Consider the following 19,070-nt stretch of genomic DNA (forward strand, 5'->3'; position numbering starts at 1 on the left):
ACACATGGACGTGAAGATGGCAGTAATAGACATTGGGGAACACAACGGGGAGAAAGGGAGGAGGAACAAGGTGTATTAGTCCATTTTCATGCTACTGACAAAGACATACCTGAGACTGGGTAATTCATAAAAAAAAAAAAGAGGTGTAGTGGACTCACTTTCCATGTGGCTGGGGAGGCCTCACAATCATGGTGGAAGGCAAAAGGCATGTCTTACATGGCAGCAGACGGGAGAATGAAAACCAACCAAAAGGGGTTTCCCCTTATAAAACCATCAGATCTCATGAGACTTACTCACTACCACGAGAACAGTATGGGGGAAACCGCCCCGATGATTCAATTATCTCCCACCAGGTCCCTCCCACAACACTTGGGAATCATGGGAGCTACAATTCAAGATGAGATTTGGGTGGGGACATAGCCAAACCATATCACAAGGGTTGAAAAAGTATTGAGTACTATGGTCACTATTTGGATGATGGGATCATTTGTGTCTCAAACCTCAGCATCATGCAACATACCCATATAACAAACCTGCACATATATCCCGAGTCTAAAATAAAAGTTGAAAGTATTTTAAAAATCCATTTAAAGGGCAGAGGTTGATTAATTGGATGAAAAAAGCAAGACCCAACTATGCAATCTAAATGAGGTACTCTCTAAATATAAAAACATAGATTTGTTGAAAATGAAATGATAGAAAAAGATACCATGCAAGTACTAGATAGCTAGGGTGACCAACCATCCATTTTGTTCAGGACTGAGGGATTCTCCAGACGTGAGATTTTCATTGCTTAAAGCAGGATATTCTTTGGTGAACCAGGATGCTAGTCACTCTAAAGATAATGAAGATGGTATGGATAAATTAATATCAGACAAATCAGACTTGAAGACAAGAATTACTACTGGCTATAAAAAGAAACATGTCCCAATAGTAAAAAGGTCAATTTATTTGGAAGAGATAAACTTCTTAAAAGTTTATGCACTTAGCTGACCTTCAAAATACATGAGGCAAAAACTGACCAAACTAAGGCAATAAGTAGACATATTACAATCATAGTAGGGGATTTTAATATCTCTTTCTCATCCATTATTAAAGCAAGTAGCTAACAAACAAGAGTATAGAAGGCGTAAGTTGATCTAATTGAGATTTGGAAATACTATCCTCAAGAATAGCTGAACGTAATTTCTCAAGTACATATGGAATGTTGATGAAGATACGACTAAGCTGAACAAAAAAAAAGTATTAAAAATTTCAAAGGATTGGAAACTTAAAATTGGCCCTGGTGGAATTAAATTAGAAATCAATGGCAATTAAGGTATCTTGAAAATCTTCATATTTGGAAATTAAGCAAAACACACTTTTACATAAACAATTGGTCAAAGAGAAAATGACAAGAAAAATGAGAAAATATCTTGAACTAAGTAAAACACAGCAAATAAAAATTTGTGGGATACAGCTAAAGTAGTGCTTAAGGGAATATTGTAGCTTTATTTTATTAAAAAGCAAGAGAAATGTAAAAGTCAGTAATTTAAGTTTCCATACAATAGAAAAAACTAGATGAGCATGTTAAATCCAAAGCAAGTAGCAATAAGGAAAGAATAGAAGAAAATACACAATAGAGAAAATGACAAAGCTAAAAGTTGTGTGTTTTTTATTTTCCAAACAAAATAAAACTGGTAATCTCTAGCAAGACTGATCTTCCTATTTGGAATGACAAGAGGGAACTCAAATTACTAATATCAGGCATAAAAATGGGGAGCATCATGATATATCTTCCAGAAATTTAAGGATAGTAAAGGACTACAGAAATCTTCCCAGGAAGAGAACTGCAAATCCACATAGGTTTCCTGGTGAATTCTGTCAAACGCATAAGGACGCTATTGTATCTTACCAGTGTTAGATGAATTTTTTCAGAAAATAGCACAGAGACAACTTTTCCTAAGTCAATCTAGAGTCCAGTAAGTGCTAATACCAAAATCTAACAATAAAAGAAAATTACAGATTAATATCCCTCATGGGCATAGCCATAAAAATCTTTAACAAGATTTTAGCAAATAAAATCCATCAAAATGTGTGATGTAATATAACCAAGTGGAGTTTGTGTCTGGAATTCAAAGTTGATTTAACATTTAAAAATTAATCAGTGTAATTCACCATATTAAGAGAATAAGGGAGAAAAGCCAAATATCTCCACAGCTGTGAAAAAAAATGGACAAAATTTAACACCCCTTTCAAAAAAATCTCTCAGAAAAGTAGGAACTGGTGGGAATTTCCTTAATGTGATAAAGAGCTTCCACAAAAACCCTAACTATGCTGCATAGTGAATACTTTCCCCTTAAGATAGGGAACGGGAAAAGGATATTCATTTTCTCCACTTGTGTTCAACATTTTTCTGGAGGTCCTTGTAAATGTAGAAGTTAGGGAAAAGGAATAAAAGGCATACCAATTAAAAAGGAGGGAGTAAAACTGTCATTACTTATAGGAAACGTGTATGTAAAAAAATCCTAAGGAATCCACAAAGAAACTATCAGAAGTGGAAAGTGAACTTAGCAAGTTCCCAATATATAAGGTCAATACGTAAAAAGCTATTGTATTTTCTTTTCTTTTCTTTTCTTTTTGGAGACAAGAGTCTTGCTCTGTCGCCCAGGCTGGAGTACAGTGGCGCGATCTCGGCTCTCTGCAAGCTCCGCCTCCCAGGTTCACGCCATTCTCCTGCCTCAGCCTCCCGAGTAGCTGGGACTACAGGTGCCCGCCACCACACCCGGCTAATTTTTTGTATTTTTCTATCTATGTCCTTTACGTGTCAGCTGATGAAACTCTGGGATCTGGCCTTTGCAGGGTGGCCAAGAGAAGCGCACTTGACTCCAGGCACTCGCGAGGTTCCTAGAGAAGGTGGCATCCCCATCTCTGACCCTAGCTCTGAAGCATGGGGTGGAGGTGTGGGGATAAACTGGTGTCGTCTGTGGTGGCAACTCGAAAGGAACAGTCAAGTCTAGGGTAGTTGCGCCTGTGCTGCTTGGGGTCCCTGCCCCACCGTAGCACATACTCTGCTGCAATCCTGGAACCCTAGGCGTTCTAGATGCCGCACGAGATCCAAAGTCCCTTGTCTCCTGCCCTTCCCCCTCTTACTGGACCCTCCTTGCATGCAAGCCACCTCCATTCAGTCAGGAAATGGGGTGCTCTCGCGCTCTGGCTTTGAGCATGTTCTGCCTCTCAGTGACTCCGGGAAAAGGACCAGAGGACACACGGGAACTGATTTCCCAAGCTGCCGCCCCGTACCAGGCGCTGAGGGGTTCGCAGGCCCTGTGGGTCCGGGCCTCCGCAGTGGCAGTCCTCAACAGTCCCCAACAGCGTGGGACCCACCTGAGCCCAAACTCCTGCCTCAGAGGCAGGAGGTCCCGAAGCGCTCGACAGGACGCCGGGTGGGCGGCTAAGATTGCCCTCTGGCGCCCTTCGCTGGTGCGCCCTTTCTTTGCCACGTGCTCCAGTGACTGTCGCCAGCACCGCGTGGGATAGCGCCGCCTGCGAGCAGAGTCGATAGCTAGGCGATCTCTGCGCCTAGCAACTACAACAGAGCTCAAACGGCTCCTCACAGGCAACTCACTGGCAGCTTCGCCCACTGGTCCCTGCGCCGCCCTTCCCCCGCCCCCGCCACTCCGCCTGGCCAGATCGCTCGGTTCCCTGCAGCTCTCCTGGGCCCTGTTCGCGGGTTGTTCTATGAGCATTGCGAGCTTTTGCCTCTGTGCAGCAGCAGGCTCAGCCCTCCGTTCTGAGCAGTGTCTGGGGGGGACACTCTGTGTTCCAATGGGCCACTTCGAAGAATCAGGCCACCCGGGAACAATAAACATCCCTCTTCCTGGGAGCAAAGAGACCATCCTCCGTTTGCCACCTTAGCCGCTAGTCGTCCCTTGAGGCTGGTGCCATCAATCACTGGGTAGATCCTTGTCCAAAGGAGACTGAGTGAAGGGCCCTAGGAGAGGACAGGAAAGAAACAGCGAAGGAAGAGGACACCAACTAGTGAGCAACGGTGGCAGGATCAGAGAAGAGGCCCCGTGGCAGCAGGGGTGAATCATCAGCATACAGTGGCAGTAGGAGCACTAAGCCATCAGCATCTAGGCCTATGGAGGCCACTGGACTGTTGTCTTTTTTCCGGTGCAGTCGAGGGTCTCTGTCTTGAGACCTCCAATCTGGGCTCCCAGAAGACGGCTTGAGTAAAGACAGCCCAGACGTCTTCAAAGAGCTCATCCTGCTCCCCCCTGCTCAAGAGGCTGACAGAGACAGTGCTTGATGAAGGCCGTCGGAGAGCTCTCCACTCACTGATGTTGGAGGAGACTAGCAGGGAAAAAAGCTTCCAGACACCATTTAGATGCTTGTCAAGGAGAAATTCTTCACCCACATCTGCCAGCTGTAGGCCTCGTTGATGGAAAATTTCAATGTTGCTGCTGCCGCCACTGCTACTGTTGTGGGATGGAGGTGAGCTGCCTTCCTCCCCTCCTCAGCTTCCTTGTCTAGTCATTAGAGAAGACCTAAGCTTAGAGAAGAAAGCTGAGTGTCAATGGCTCAATAACATATCGGAAGTTAAGACTGAAGCCACCATGGACTGCAGTGTCACTCAGCCTGTGGGTTCTATTGCTCTGCCTGCTGTAGGGAATGAAAACATCCTGCCCCTGGTCACTTTCACCTTGTGGGTCTTGCGTGTTAAAACATTCCCAGTTGCAAACTTAGCTGACCAGTCTGCCAGGGCCCCAGTCCTGTCTGCCCTTCTATCTTCTCACACTCCAGAGACTGACTGTAGAATGAGATGCACATTCCTCTCCTGATTCTCCATTTGCTGTTTGTGCTGACTGTCTTTCTCCTTTTAGGTTCAAGCTCATTTTGGGGGTTCCACTTAGTAATAAGAACAGAGGACCTGCATTCCCATCCCTCAGTCATAGCTGGAGTGTCTTCTACTACTGTCCTCCTCACACCTGCCAGCACCTTGATTTTCTCCTAGCTTGCCTCCTGCAGAATAGAGTCACCTATGGACTCTCCAGTGGATTCATGGATACCCTCCCCCAGTCACCTCCGCCAGTACTCAGCCTTCTCCCACCAGCCTATCACTGCTTCTGCAGTCATGTCCTCCATTGCAACCAGCACGTCTGCACGGTTGAACTCTTAGCTACTTTGAACTTTGATGTCACTGGCATGGACATCACTCCCCCTTCTCAAGCTTTCTTCCTGAGTTCTCCTTCAGGCTCCAGAGAGAACATCTTCCCATTTTCCATGGAGCTCCCTGGTTCTGAGAACATGTCACCCAGGAGCAGCATTACCTCAGCCTGTTCCCACCAGTTTGTCTGCACAGTTGGTCAGTGGCCCAAATGCAACTTTCAAAGTTATTGTGGCCCAAGAGCCACTGTTTAGCCCACATTTGAGCCCCTTCTGGGCTGAAGCTTGCAGCTACCAGCTTTGGTAACTTATTGACATCAGACAGCCCCAGTAAGAGCTTCAGACTTAACCTCCACTGCAGCCCAGCCACTCACTGACAGCATCAATAAGCTTCGTGGGTTTTACATCCTTATTTTCCCTTTGGCATCCCTTTCAGCACCCAGCTGCCCTTTGGATGCACCTCAGACATTTTGCCTGTTGGTACAGCCACTACTTCTAGCTTTAGAGCCCCCACCAGAATGCTAGCCCTGGGGCTAGTAGTTCACTGCTTGCCAAGACTACTGCAGGCCCATTTGTGTTTATGGAATCTGCAGCCCCAGTGGGGAGCAGCAGCTTTAGGGTGAGTGTGGCTGCCCTAGGCCCAAGATCCATGTCTAGACCACTCAGCTTTGGTGAGGAACCAAGGGGGTCACCCAGTTCCAGAACTCATTTTGAGAGAGGCTTAAATCTGAGCACAATGGTCCTGATGGCTCACAGCATCCTTGTTGCAAATGTAGACCCCACTTTATTTTTTATTTATTTTTTATTTTTTGAGACAGAGTCTCGCTCTGTTGCCCAGGCTGGAGTGCAGTGGCGTGAACTTGGCTCACTGTGCAACCTCTGCCTCCTGGATTCAAGCAATTCTCCTACCTCAGCCTCTGCAGTAGCTGGTACTACAGGCACACGCTGCCACGCCTGGCTAATTTTTTGTATTTTTAGTAGAGACAGGGTTTCACCGTGTTGTCCAGGCTGCAGACCGCACTTTTATGGAGAGCCAATTGATCTTGGGAGACAGTTTTCTTCCTGTCTGTAGTCAGAGCACTGGTCTCCTGGTTGAGAGCATATCTGTTACTACTGGAGGAGTCAGCCCCAATGAGAAGAAATTACACTTTTTGTGTGTGTGGTCATATCACATGGACCCACCGTGCCAGAGCACATCTGGTACAGTTGGAGTGGCCAGAACCACACCTGTGCTTGAGGGTCCTTTTCTGTCTGCTTCTACCTTTCTTCAGAGCACCTGGGGCCCACTTGGCCACAGCATATTTGTTGTAGTCACTGGGGCCAGCACTATTTCCGTGCTTGGAGATACCTCTACTCATATTTACAGTCATAGCGCCTGGGACACACCTGACCAGAGCATCCGTAGCAGCACAGGGCCAGCCCCATATCTGTGCTTAGGCCCACGCATTTCCATTTACAGTGAGACCACGTGGCCCCCTGCTGGATAAAGTTCAGATGGCACAGTGAGAGGAGCCAGCCACACTGTGTTGGGAGACTCTTTTGTGCATATGGTCAGTGTAACTGAGGCCCACTTATTCAGAGCAATCCTGTTACTACTGGATGAGCCAGCACTACTGAGAGAAGAAATAGGTGTTCCCAGGCTCCAGAGTGAGGCTGCCTCCCATTTGTCCAGGCACATTTCAGTATGGAGCGCATATCTCCTGCAAAGGCCCCAGCCTCCACCAGCCCACTTGCATTTATGATCAGCAGCCCCACCACAACTTTCAATCTTCCCTTGGGCTGAGAGCCATCACTCATCCACATTTGGGATCTCTAGTGGGCAGTGGCAGGAGCCACTCTCCCCAGTGCCTCTGCTTTTTCTGGCCTACCTATCACTGCCTCTGTAGTTGCCTCTATGCCTGTAGTCAGCACCTCAGCAGAGTCCACATCCAATCCTACCTCTGACTCTGATGAAATTGATATGGATACTAAGCTCCTTCCCCAGGCTGTCATCTCTGGTCTCCCTGGTCTCCAGCGAATACTTCCCATTTTCCACGGAGCTCTCTGGTTCAGATAATATGCTACTCAGAGGCAGCATTGGCACAGTTGGTTAGTGGCCCTAATGCAACTTGCAAAATCATTTTGACCCCCTGTGTATATTTCAGGTCCCTGATGGGCTGCAGCCTGGAGCTACCAGCTTTGTTGGCTCTTTCCCTTTTGGAAACCAGGAAGCCTCAGCACAAGCTCCTGATTTAACCTCTGCCACATCCTAACCACCAGATGGCAGCACAACTCAATCAGCTTCATGGATTTGACGTCTCCATTTTCTACCTTTGACATCCCTGTCATCACCCAGCTGGCTTGTGGTTGCACCTCAGGCATTTTCTTAGTTGGTACAGCTACTAATTCTGGCTTTAGAGTCTGCACCAGGACTTGGGGGCAATAGTTCACTGTTTGCCAACCCTACTGCAGACCCATTTGTGTTTATGGAATCTGTGGCCTCTATGGGTTGCAGTAGCTTTAGGATGAGTGTGGCTGCCTTAGTCCAAGATCCATATCTAGACCACTCAGCTTTGGTGCAGGACTGAGCAGACACTGGTTTCCTGAGCTGAGACACCTAGACCTGAGTACCAGGTTCTTGCTGGCCTAGAGCAATCTGGTCCATCTCTACAAAGAGCAAATCTGGGAGATACTTTCTTTCATGTCTATAATCAGAGCCAGCTGGGTGAATGCACATCTGTTACTATTGGAGGAGTCAGTCCCATGGAGAAGAATCAAGGTCCAGGCAACAGTTTTGTTCCTTCTTGTGGTCAGATTAGCTGAGACCCGTCATGCCAGAGCATATCTCTTACAGTCACAGGGGCCAGCACTACACCTGTGTTGGGCTTTTCTTTTCCCAACTTCCGTCAGAGCTCCTAGGGTCCCCCTGGCCAGAGCACACTTGTTGCAGTGGGAGAGATCAGCACCCCTCTCATGCTTGGAGATACTTTCCTTCATGCCTACAATCAGAGCACCTGAGGCGTGCCTGATCAGAGTTCATCTTTAGGAATAGCAGCAGCTAGTGCATACCTGTGCTTGCAGGTCCTTATGTTCTCACATACAATCAGAGCACCTGGAGCCCATGTGGTTAAAGTCCAGATGGTACAATGGGAAGGGACATCATGGAACTTGTTTTTGGAAATGCCTCTCTTCCTACTATCATTCTGAGCTCCTGGGGTACTCATTACACATAACACTTCTGTTACAGTCAGAGGGGACAAGGCTGTACATGATTCAGGAGACATTTCTGCTTTGGTCTGAGTCAGAATACCTGGTCACCTAGCCATGGTACCCCATTTGACTTTTGAGGAGACAGCACTACTGAGAAAATACCTGTGCTTGGAGACACTTTTGCTCCTACCTTTGGTTAGAATACTTCCAATTCTGATGTGATCACTGCAAACATCAGCCTTGCCTTTGGGACACTTTCATTAGCAGCAGGGATTGTGGCAAATGGAAATGTGGTGCCATCCACCCTTTGCCTTCTCCTAGTGCAATTAAGAAACACAAGCTTTCTTTGAAAATGGCAGGCTGCAGTGACCACTGTCCCCCGTGAATAGCCATCACTCTGATGGAAAGAGGCTCAGTTTTATGGAGTTATGTCAAACAAATTTAACCCTCTGTCTGTCTTCTAACAGCAAGCTGCAGGACCAGCACCTTGGGGTGGTATATATGTCTGTCAGAGGGTGTGGGGCAAATGAGGCTGGTCAGAAGTTCACATACTTGACTTGAAAATTTCCACTGTAGAGAGTAGAAGAGGGCTCTGCACACATCATCGACTAAGCCATACCTGGCTTTGCCTAAATAGCCTGGCAATCTGAAGCCCTGGGCCAGTTTTCCTCTTGTCTTGTAACTAGCAGTTTACCCTCTGCTCCTACAGCTGCCCCATTCTCTTTAATCATTTGTCTCAGTGGGCCCTTATCTTTCTTTCCCAGATTATATAGATAGATAAACAGATGGATGGGGAGATAGATAGATAAAGCCTTGTTCTTCCTAATTCATGTGTCTTTGCTCTTTGACTCAATGTTGGAGGAAGAATTAACTTGCATGAATGGTGATATATTGAGCCAGACTTAACTGTGCAGTTTTCTGTGGCCAGTGAATAGAAGTGGAAGTGCCCATACTTTATGAGTTTACATGCTGTTGTTTGAAGTTGGCATTTTTGAATATAAGCAATGGCAACCCAGGAGGACATGAGGTCCAGAGGATGGAGAGACCGGCGTCTTGCTCTTGCCTCCTCCCTCCTGGCTACTCTCCCATCACTCTGACCTCCCTGCAGGCAAGATCATCCCTGAGGCATATTTGGAAATCACACTTTACAATTTTCATCATTTAACAATGTTTGTGTGTGTGTGTGTGTGTGTGTGTGTGTGTGTGTGTGTGTATTTGACAAAAAAATGTAGACTTAGGGCAACGTCTGAGTTCATTCGGGCTTCTATAACAAAATACCAGAGACTGGCTAATTTTAAACCACAGGAATTTATTTCTCACAGTTACGGAGACTGGGAAGTTCAAGATCAAGGTGCTGGTAGGTTCTGTGTCTGGTGGAGACCCACTCCTCAGAGATGGTGCCACCTAGGTGTCCTCACATGGCAGAAAGAACAGAAAGGCAAAAGAAAAGTAAACACTGTGTCCTCAGGTGGCAGAAGAGTGAAAGAGCAAGGTCTTTTATAAGAGCTCTAATCCCATTCATAAGAACCTAACCTATAATCACCTCCTAAAGGTCCCACCTCTTAATGCCATCACATTGGTGATTGCTCTTTAACATACGAATTTTGGGGGATACATTCAGACTACAGCTGCCAGTTATCTCCACACATTCATACTCAGAAAGGATGGGCCTGGCATCTGGGCTCATGGCCTGGAAGAACAAAGAAAGGAAGAGCTTCCACCTGCTCTGTAATGATTGAAAATGTTAATATAACACATATTACAGTTGTATCATGCTGCTTAAAAAAATCAGGAAATATCCTTTCTTCAGGGAAGTATCTAGACAGGATCTATTTAGAAAAATAACCAGTCTGGCTCTAATGCTACTAAAATGCCAAATCTTAAGAATTATAATTTCACTTAAATCTGGCTGACCTTACAGACCTGCTGTGTCTCCATTAGACTTAGTTGCTGATGGTGCAATCTTCTCTAAGTCATGTCATAACAGGAGAACCTACATAAGATGAGAAGACAGAAAAGTACAAGCATTTCCCTCAGCTCCATACATTTGATTTTATTTCACATTTATTCATTATGACTCTACAGTAGACTCTGCGCTAGGCCCTAGAGATATAAAGTTGAAAGATGTCTCTTTTCCAGATGAATTTACAACGTGTTAGGGAGGACAGAGGAATAGACCAAAAATACAAGTGGAAAGGTCAGTATTAGGGCAGTGGGAGTGACTAACAACATAAAACTAAGTCTCGGGTAGAAGAAACTTGAGTTGTGTCTTAAGGAAGAGGAAGCAGCCAGGTGGAAAAGGGCTATTTCCAGGTTAAGGAGACAGTATGTAAAAGTCCGGGAGAGATATGAGATCTTGAGCCAGTGTGATATGATTTGGATGTTTGTCCCTAACATGGTTTGGCTGTGTCCCCATTCAAATATCAACTTGAATTATATCTCCCAGAATTCCCATGTGTTGTGGGAAGGACCTAGGAAAAGTAATTGAATCATGGGGGCCGGTCTTTCCCATGCTATTTTCATGATAGTGAATAAGTCTCATGAGATCTGATGGGTTTATCAGGGGTTTCTGCTTTTGCTTCTTCCTCATTTTCTCTTACCATCGTCATGTAAGAAGTGCCTTTCGCTTCCTGTCATGATTCTGAGGCCTCCCCAGTCATGTGGAACTGTAAGTCCAATTAGACCTCTTTTTCTTCCCAGTCTCAGGTACGTCTTTATCAGCAGTGTGAAAACAGACTAACACAGTAAATTGGTACCAGTTGAGTGGGGCCTTGCTGAAAAGATACCTGAAAATGTGGAAGCGACTTTGGAACTGGGTAACAGGCAGAGGCTGGAACAGCTTGGAGATCTCAGAAGAAGACAGGAAAATACAAGAAAGTTTGGAACCTCCTAGAGACTTGTTGAATGGTTTTGAGAAAAATGCTGATAGTGATATGAACAATAAGGTCCAGGCTGAGGTGGTCTCAGTTGAGGATGAGGAACTTGTTGGGAACTGGAGCAAAGGTGACTCTTATTATCTTTTACCAGAGACTGGTGACATTTTGCCATTACCCTAGAGATTTGTGGAACTTTGAACTTGAGAGAGATGATTTAGGGTATCTGGTGGAAGAAATTTCTAAGCAGCAAAGCATTAAAGAGGTGACTTGGATGCTGTTAAAAGCATTCCATTTTAAAAGGGAAGCAGAACATAAATGTTCAGAAAATTTGCAGCTTGATGATGCAGTAGAAAAGAAAAAACCATTTTTATTTTATTTAATTTTTTTTATTATACTTTAAGTTTTGGGGTACATGTGCAGAACGGGCAATTTTGTTACATAGGTATACATGTGCCATGGTGGTTTGCTGCACCCATCAACCCATGACCTACATTAGGTATTTCTTCTAATGCTATCCCTCCCCTGGTCCCCCACCCCCGATGGGCCCAGTGTGTGATGTTACCCTCCCTGTGTCCATGTGTTCTCATTGTTCAACTCCCACTTATGAGTGAAAACATGCAGTTTGCTGAGAATGATGGTTCCCAGCTTCATCCATGTCCCTGCAAAGGACATGAACTCATCATTTTTTATGGCTGCCTAGGATTCCATGGTGTATATGTGCCACATTTTCTGTATCCAGTCTATGATTGATGGACATTTGGATTGGTTCCAAGCCTTTGCTATTGTGACTAGTGCCACAATAAACATACATGTACATGTGCCTTTATAGTAGCATGGTTTATAATCCTTTGGGTATATACCCAGTAATGGGATTGCTGGGTCAACTGGTATTTCTAGTTCTATATCCTTGAGGAATCACCACTCTGTCTTCCACACTGGTTGAACTAATTTACACTCCCATCAACAGTGTAAAAGTGTTCCTATTTCTCCACATCCTCTCCAGCACCTGTTGTTTCCTGACTTTTTAATGATCACTATTCTAACTGGCATGAGATGGTATCTCATTGCGGTTTTGATTTGCATTTCTCGAATGACCAGTGATGATGAGCTTTTTTTCATGTTTGTTGGCTGCATAAATGTCTTCTTTTGAGAAGTGTCTGTTCATATCCTTTGCCCACTTTTTGATGGGGTTGTTTTTTTTTTTCTTTAAATTTGTTTAAGTTCCTTGTAGATTCTGGATATTAGCCCTTTGTCAGATGGATAGATTGCAAAAATTTTCTCCCATTCTGTAGGTTGCCTGTTCACTCTGATGATAGTTTCTTTTGCTGTGCAGAAGTTCTTGAGTTTAATTAGATCCCATTTGTCAATTTTGGCTTTTGTTGCCATTGCTTTTGGTGTTTTAGGCATGAAGTCTTTGCCCATGCCTATGTCCTGAATGGTATTGCCTAGGTTTTCTTCTAGGGTTTTTATGGTTTTAGGTCTTATGTTTAAGTTTTTAATCCATCTTGAGTTAATTTTTGTATAAGGTGTAAGGAAGGGGTCCACTTTCAGTTTTCTCCATATGGCTAGCTAGTTTTCCCAACTCCATTTATTAAATAGGCAATCCTTTCCCTGTTGCTTGTTTTTGTCAGGTTTGTCAAAGATCAGATGGTTGTAGATGTGTGGTGTTATTTCTGAGGCCTCTGTAAACCCATTTTTTAAGGAGAAATTCAAGACGTGAGCAGAAATTTGCATAAGTAGCAAGGTGCCTAATGTTAACCCCAAGACCATGGGGAACATGTCTCCAGGCCATGTCAATAACCTTCATGGCAGCCCCTCCCATCACAGGCCCAGACGCCCAGTAGGAAGAAGTTGTATTGTGGGCCGGGCCCAGGGTCCTCGTGCTGTGTGCAGCCTAGGGACTTGGTGCCCTGTGTCCCAGCTGCTCCGGCCATGACTGAAAGGGGCCAACGTAGAGCTTGGGCTGTGGCTTCAGAGGGTGGAAGTCCCAAGCCTTGACAGCTTCCACATGGTGTTGAGCCTGTGGGTGCACAGGTCAAGAATTGAGGTTTGGGAACCTCCACCTAGATTTCAGATGTATAGAAATGCCTGGGTGCCCAGGCAAAAGTTTGCTGCAGGGGTGGGGCCCTCATGGAGAACCTCTGCTAGGGCAGTATGGAAGGAAAATGTGGGGTCAGAGCTCCCACACAGAGTCCCTACTGGGGCACTGCCTAGTGGAGCGGTGAGAAAAGGGCCACTGTCCTCCAGACTCCAGAATGGTAGATTCACTGACAGCTTGCACCATGCATCTGGAAAAGCCACAGACACTCAATGCCAGCCCCTGAAAGCAGCCAGGAGGGAGCCTGTACCTTGCAAAGCTACAGGGTCAGAGCTGCCCAAGACCAAGGGAACCTACCTCTTGCATCTGCACGACCTGGATGTGAGACCTGGAGTCAAAGGAGATCATTTCGGAGCTTTAAAATTTGACTGCCCTGCTGGATTTTGGACTTGCACGGGCCCTGTAACCCCTTTGTTTTGGCCAATTTATCCCATTTTGTATGGCCGTATTTACCCAATACCTGTACCCCCATTGTATCTAGGAAGTAACTAGCTTGTTTTTGATTGTACAGGCTCATAGGCAGAAGGGACTTGCCTTTTCTCAGATGAGACTTTGGACTGTGGACTTTTGGGTTAATGCTGAAATGAGTTAAGACTTTGGGGGACTGTTGGGAAGGCATGATTGGTTTTGAAATGTGAGGACATGAGATTTGGGAGGGGCCAGGGGCAGAATGATATGGTTTGGCTGTGTCCCCATTCAAATCTCAACTTGAATTTTATCTCCCAGGATTCCCACATGTTGTGGGAGGGACCTTGGGGGAGGTAATTGAATCATGGGGGCTGGTCTTTCCCGTGCTATTTTCATGATAGTGAATAAGTCTCATGAGACCTGATGGGTTTATCAGGGGTTCCTGCTTTTGCTTCTTCCTCATATTCTCTTGCTGCCACCATGTAGGAAGTACTTTTGCCTCTAGCCATGATTCTGAGGCCTCCCCAGCCATGTGGAACTGTAAGTCCAATTAAACCTCTTTTTCTTCCCAGTCTTGGGTGCTGAGACCAGCTTAGTTGGGGAGACCCTAACCCAGCTGCGCTAGAGTAATTAAAGACACACACACAGAAATATAGAGGTGTGAAGTGGGAAATCAGGAGTCTCACAGCCTTCAGAGCTGAGAACCCTGAACAGAGATTTACCCATGTGTTTATTAACAGCAAACCAGTCATTAGCATTGTTTCTATAGATATTAAATTAACTAAAAGTATCCCTTATGGGAAATGAAGGGATGGGCCAAATTAAAGGAATAGGTTGGGCTAGTTACCTGCAGCAGGAGCATGTCCTTAAGGCACAGATTGCTCATGCTATTGTTTGTGGCTTAAGAATGCCTTTAAGCAGTTTTCCACCCTGGGTGCACCAGGTGTTCTTTGCCCTCATTCATGTAAACCCACAATCTTCCAGCTTGGGCATTAGGGCAGTTATGAACATGTTACAGTGCTGCAGAGATTTTGTTTATGGCCAGTTTTTGGGCCAGTTTATGGCCAGATTTTGGGGGGCCTGCTCCCAACACTTGGGTATGTCTTTATCAGCAGCATGAAAACAGACTAATACAGTCCCCTCCAAATCTCATATTGAAATGTGTTCCCCAATGTTGGAGGTGGGGACTGGTGGGAGATGTTTGGGTCATGGGGGCAGATTCTTCATGAATGGCTTGGTGCTGTCCTTGTGATAATGAGTGAGTTTTCACTCTATCAGTTCACGTGAGAGCCGGTTCTTTAAAAGAGCATGGTACCTCCTCTCCTCTCTCTTGCTTCCTTCTCTCTTGCTCCTGTTCTTACCATGTGACATGTCTGCTCCCACTTCACCTTCCACCATAACTGTAAGCTTCCTGAGGCCTCATCAGAAGCCAGGCGGATGCTGGTGCCATCCTTGTACAGCCTGCAGCCAAACAAATCTATTTTCTTTATAAATTACCCAGTCTCAGGTATTTCTTTATAGCAATGCAAAATGGATGAATATACAGTGGGACCCCTGGCAAATAGTTATGTGTAGTTGATCAGTGAATCTGGTCTGGGAGGTACAGCTGCAGAGCTCAGCCAGGACAGATCGTGGACAAACGTATATACTGTTAGAGTAGGTAATTAGGCAGACATGAGCATGGCAGGAGAGGCCCCCCAACCCCACTCGCAGGAATGTCTGATGACCATCAGGCAATGGTCAGGCAGTTGTTAAACTGTGTCTCTGATATGATAATTGGTCACAGCTGGCACCTGGGGACAATAGCCTCCCAATAGATAGAAAACACCTGGAGCTGGTGATCAGAAGCTTCCTGATAAGATCTCAGAAGTTGGGCAAGCAGGCTCAAGCATGTGCACTGAGAAGCAAAATGGCTGATGTCTGACCTTCCTCCAGGGGCATTTGACCAGTAAAGGGAAGTTGGCCCTAGAAAGCATGCGCACAACATCAGTAAATGCGCTATGCATGTGGCCACCCTCTCTAATGCTGACTGACATTGCTTATGAGGCATTTGAGCAACAGCCTGCTCCAAGGGAAGAATCAAGGGAAGGGAAAAGAAAACCCCAGAACCATGCCAATTTACAAATCCCAAAGTCAGTGGCTAAATGGGGTACTTGGATCTCTCAAGTTGCCTGCTTGGCCCTCTTCCAAGGGTAATTTGCTTCCTTTTGCTCCTGCTCTAGAACATTTTAATAAACTCTCACTCCTACTCTTAAACTTGTCTCAGTCTCTCCCTGTGCCTTAAACCTACTTCACTCCTCAGCCAAATTCTTTCCTCTGAGAAGGCAAGGATCAAATCTGCTGCAGATCTGTATGGGTTGATGGCTGGTAACATATTTTGTTGCCATGACTTGGATACATTCTCAAGAGGTAAGATGTCTCTACACCTTGCCTTCTTCAGCTGGAGGCATTCAACCCCTGTATGTGGTTTCCTTCACCCCTTTTACTCTCTTGCTTACTGACCACTCCCAGAACATTTCCTCTTAGCTGCAATAGCTCTGCTCCCCACAGCTGATCTCTCAGCTCACTCTGAAAGGCTTGCAGGGGTGGGAAGGACCTTAGAGTCTGCACTGAGTAGACCTGAGACACTAATGGCCCTCCTGGACAGGAGGCTTACGAGAGTGGTAGGGCTAAAGCCTAAGGCCATGTAATGTCTGGGGTTTCCTCTGATTCTTCAACTAAAACAGGCTCTTTCCCAAAAAGCGGCACTGCCCATTCTCCTGTTTTCTCTGTGTGTATTCTGAAATGGCCTTGCACACCCGCTGGACCATCTGCATTGGGAGCAAGTCTGCCTTTTCTCTGCTTTCACTTTGCATGCTGTGCGACTTCCTTCTCTACCTTAACACACACTCCATTTGTTGTTCCTGTGCCCATGGCTCTTGCTGGGTTTGCCTGGCAACCAAGACATGGGCTCCATTGTGGATATCCCATGGGATTTATACTTGGTTTTACTCTTCCAGCTCAGATGACCTTCAGCCCTTCCCCTGTCTGTTGGCTCATTGTCAGGACAGACACTAATTGGAACCCTGGCTCTGCCAGCTCCTTGTGACTTACCATATGCTTTTTGTCCCTGTTATACTCCAGGGTCAGGTTTTTTGGTGGTTTTTGAAGCTATTTGTCTACCTGCATAGGACTTCACTTTATGGCCCTTTAAGGACACCACCTATCCGCTTTTTTGAGTTATCACCTTTTTGAAGGAAGGAGAATTCTTCCTTTGTCATCTGTGAGCCCTTATCCCAGGCTACAAGTTCTCCAGAGGTTCCTCTTTTATGTCGAGAAGGCAAATAAACATTGCCCTCCAAATCTAAGGGCTGCTGTTTTTGCGAGCATATAGAGTCTTTCCATGAGCATCCCTCTGGCTTCCTCCTGCTTCCTCTGGTAGCAGAGGGATTGTTCTATCTGTTTAAGCATTTGTTCTGCATGTTATCCCAGAAGACAACCCCAAATAAAAATTTTCCTCCTCTTCTCTAATCACTTCTACATCTTTCTCAATATGCATCAGGACTTTCAAGATTATATTTGAAGGGGGGGCCGTCCAGCCCCCTTGTGGCAGTTGGCTGAAAAACAGACTTCTCATCTACTTAAAGAACATGGGAAATGGGAATATGAGAAAAGAGATGATCATTTTATTGCTAGAATGCTCGAATAAGAGTCACTATAAGGTCCTGGAGACAAGGATATAGGCTACCCCAAGGCCACAGGTGCAAGAGACCAGAGTACCTATAGAGCAGAGATGAAGGCTAGTCCCAGGCTATAGGTGCAAAACAGATTACCACTAGAATACAGATGAAGGTTGGTCCCAGAAATAGGATGGGACCAGGGTTAGGGGTACCTGGTAAGCACCAGTCCTTTCAAGAACCCCTAAGATGAATGGGGGGCACTGTGTTCACTCCAGTTTGTGATAGGCACAGGATTAAGGGAACAAGGAGGGGGATGCCGCCTTCTTCTCTTTTCTCTCTGTTCTCTCTTCAAAAATGGCTAATCACACCTCCTTAAAACAAGGTGGGACCAAGGTTAGGGGTACCTGATAAGCAGCGGTTCATCTGGAACCCCTAGGATGAATGGGGATACCCTGTTCACTCTGGTCTGCCATAAGTCCAGGAAAAAGATAGTAGGGAAACTAGAGGGGACACCTTCTTTCCCTCTTGTCTCCTCTGTTCGCTCTTCGCAGATAGGTAATTGTGTCTCCATACCATAGGACACATCCCTTGATGCATCCTCAAAAACCGGGAAAAGCTTCACACTGCCCCTGCCGCCACACAAGCTTAAAATAAAAAACTGGTGTTCCTTTGTAATACTGTTTAGCCTAAAAATGAATTGGGAGAAAATTACAAAAGTCAGCCTTAGAACCCAGAGCCCATATGCAGGAAATCCTCAAGTTAGCATCCTGAGTGTTTTATAACCAAGAGCAGAATAAGGAGGACAGGGTTAAGGAGAAGGAGAAATGTAGGGACAAAAGTGAGGTTCAACTATTGGCTGCTTTACAAGCTCTCCAGGTCCCTCCAGGTTGCCCTTAGGACACTACTCCAGAGAACTGCCATTGATGCAGAAAACCAGGCCACTGGAAGGTAAAATGCCTCAATGGGCTAAGTGGAAAAAAGCTCCACAAGGCCTGTCCCCTCTACCACAAGCTCAGCCACTGGAAAAAGGACTGTCCTGAGAGTCAGAAATGCCCACAGGCCAGACTTCAATCCAATAAAGGCCTTGAGTTGAAGGGGTTCTCCATTCTGATCAAAAGGAACAAATCCAAGGGCAACTCTAGAGGCTACAAATAAAATTATAAATTTCCCTCTTGTGTTCAAGAGCTGCCTACTTAGTGCTAATCTTCTCTGAGCAACTCTTTCAAATACTGTCGGGTAATAGGGGCAAATGGCATGCCCTCCCTCCAAAGAAAAAAGATTTACATCCCTTTATATTATTTAAGGGATCAATTACCATTCTTCCAGCAGTCCCTGTTAATGTCTAAATACGCCCAACCCCTTTTGGCAAAAATATACTTTTCAAGATGGGTGCCTGCTTAATATTTGCCCAACCTCTGAATTCATCTTTCCCGCTAATAACCCTATTTCTTCTGGGAAAGCTACCTAAATCTTTAACCAATAACTTCAATCTGGACAGTCCTACTTCAGGGGTATAGAAATAGCCCAATCTTATTCAGAAAAGCCCTAACAAGAAATCTAATTGAGCAATCTCTTGAGGGATGATAACTTCTACAGTATATAGATAACCTCCCCACCTGCTCCCCCTTCACAGGACTCACACAGCAACATGTAGTACAAACCATAACTTCCTAACAGTAGGAAAATGGCTTT

The 19,070-nt window shown here is 45.5% G+C and overlaps 1 long non-coding RNA gene and 1 pseudogene across 5 annotated transcripts in view, besides 1 other annotated feature; both read left to right on the plus strand.

Annotated features, from left to right (window-relative positions):
* LOC124902439 (uncharacterized) overlaps positions 1 to 19,070 on the plus strand; it is an 820,351-nt gene that overhangs the window by 97,517 nt on the left and 703,764 nt on the right. The window lies entirely within an intron of this gene.
* On the plus strand, positions 3,617 to 6,512 carry LOC100420828 (nuclear pore associated protein 1 pseudogene; annotated as a pseudogene).
* Positions 6,538 to 6,707: a silencer, noted in NCBI's record as "silent region_2412". NCBI's record gives its function as "represses an Ori minimal core promoter by ATAC-STARR-seq in GM12878 lymphoblastoid cells {active_cell/tissue: GM12878}" and the evidence as "EXISTENCE:reporter gene assay evidence [ECO:0000049][PMID:35858748]".

The sequence above is a fragment of the Homo sapiens genome, chromosome 10, assembly GCF_000001405.40.
Source record: "Homo sapiens chromosome 10, GRCh38.p14 Primary Assembly".
NCBI classification, from domain to species: Eukaryota; Metazoa; Chordata; class Mammalia; order Primates; family Hominidae; genus Homo; species Homo sapiens.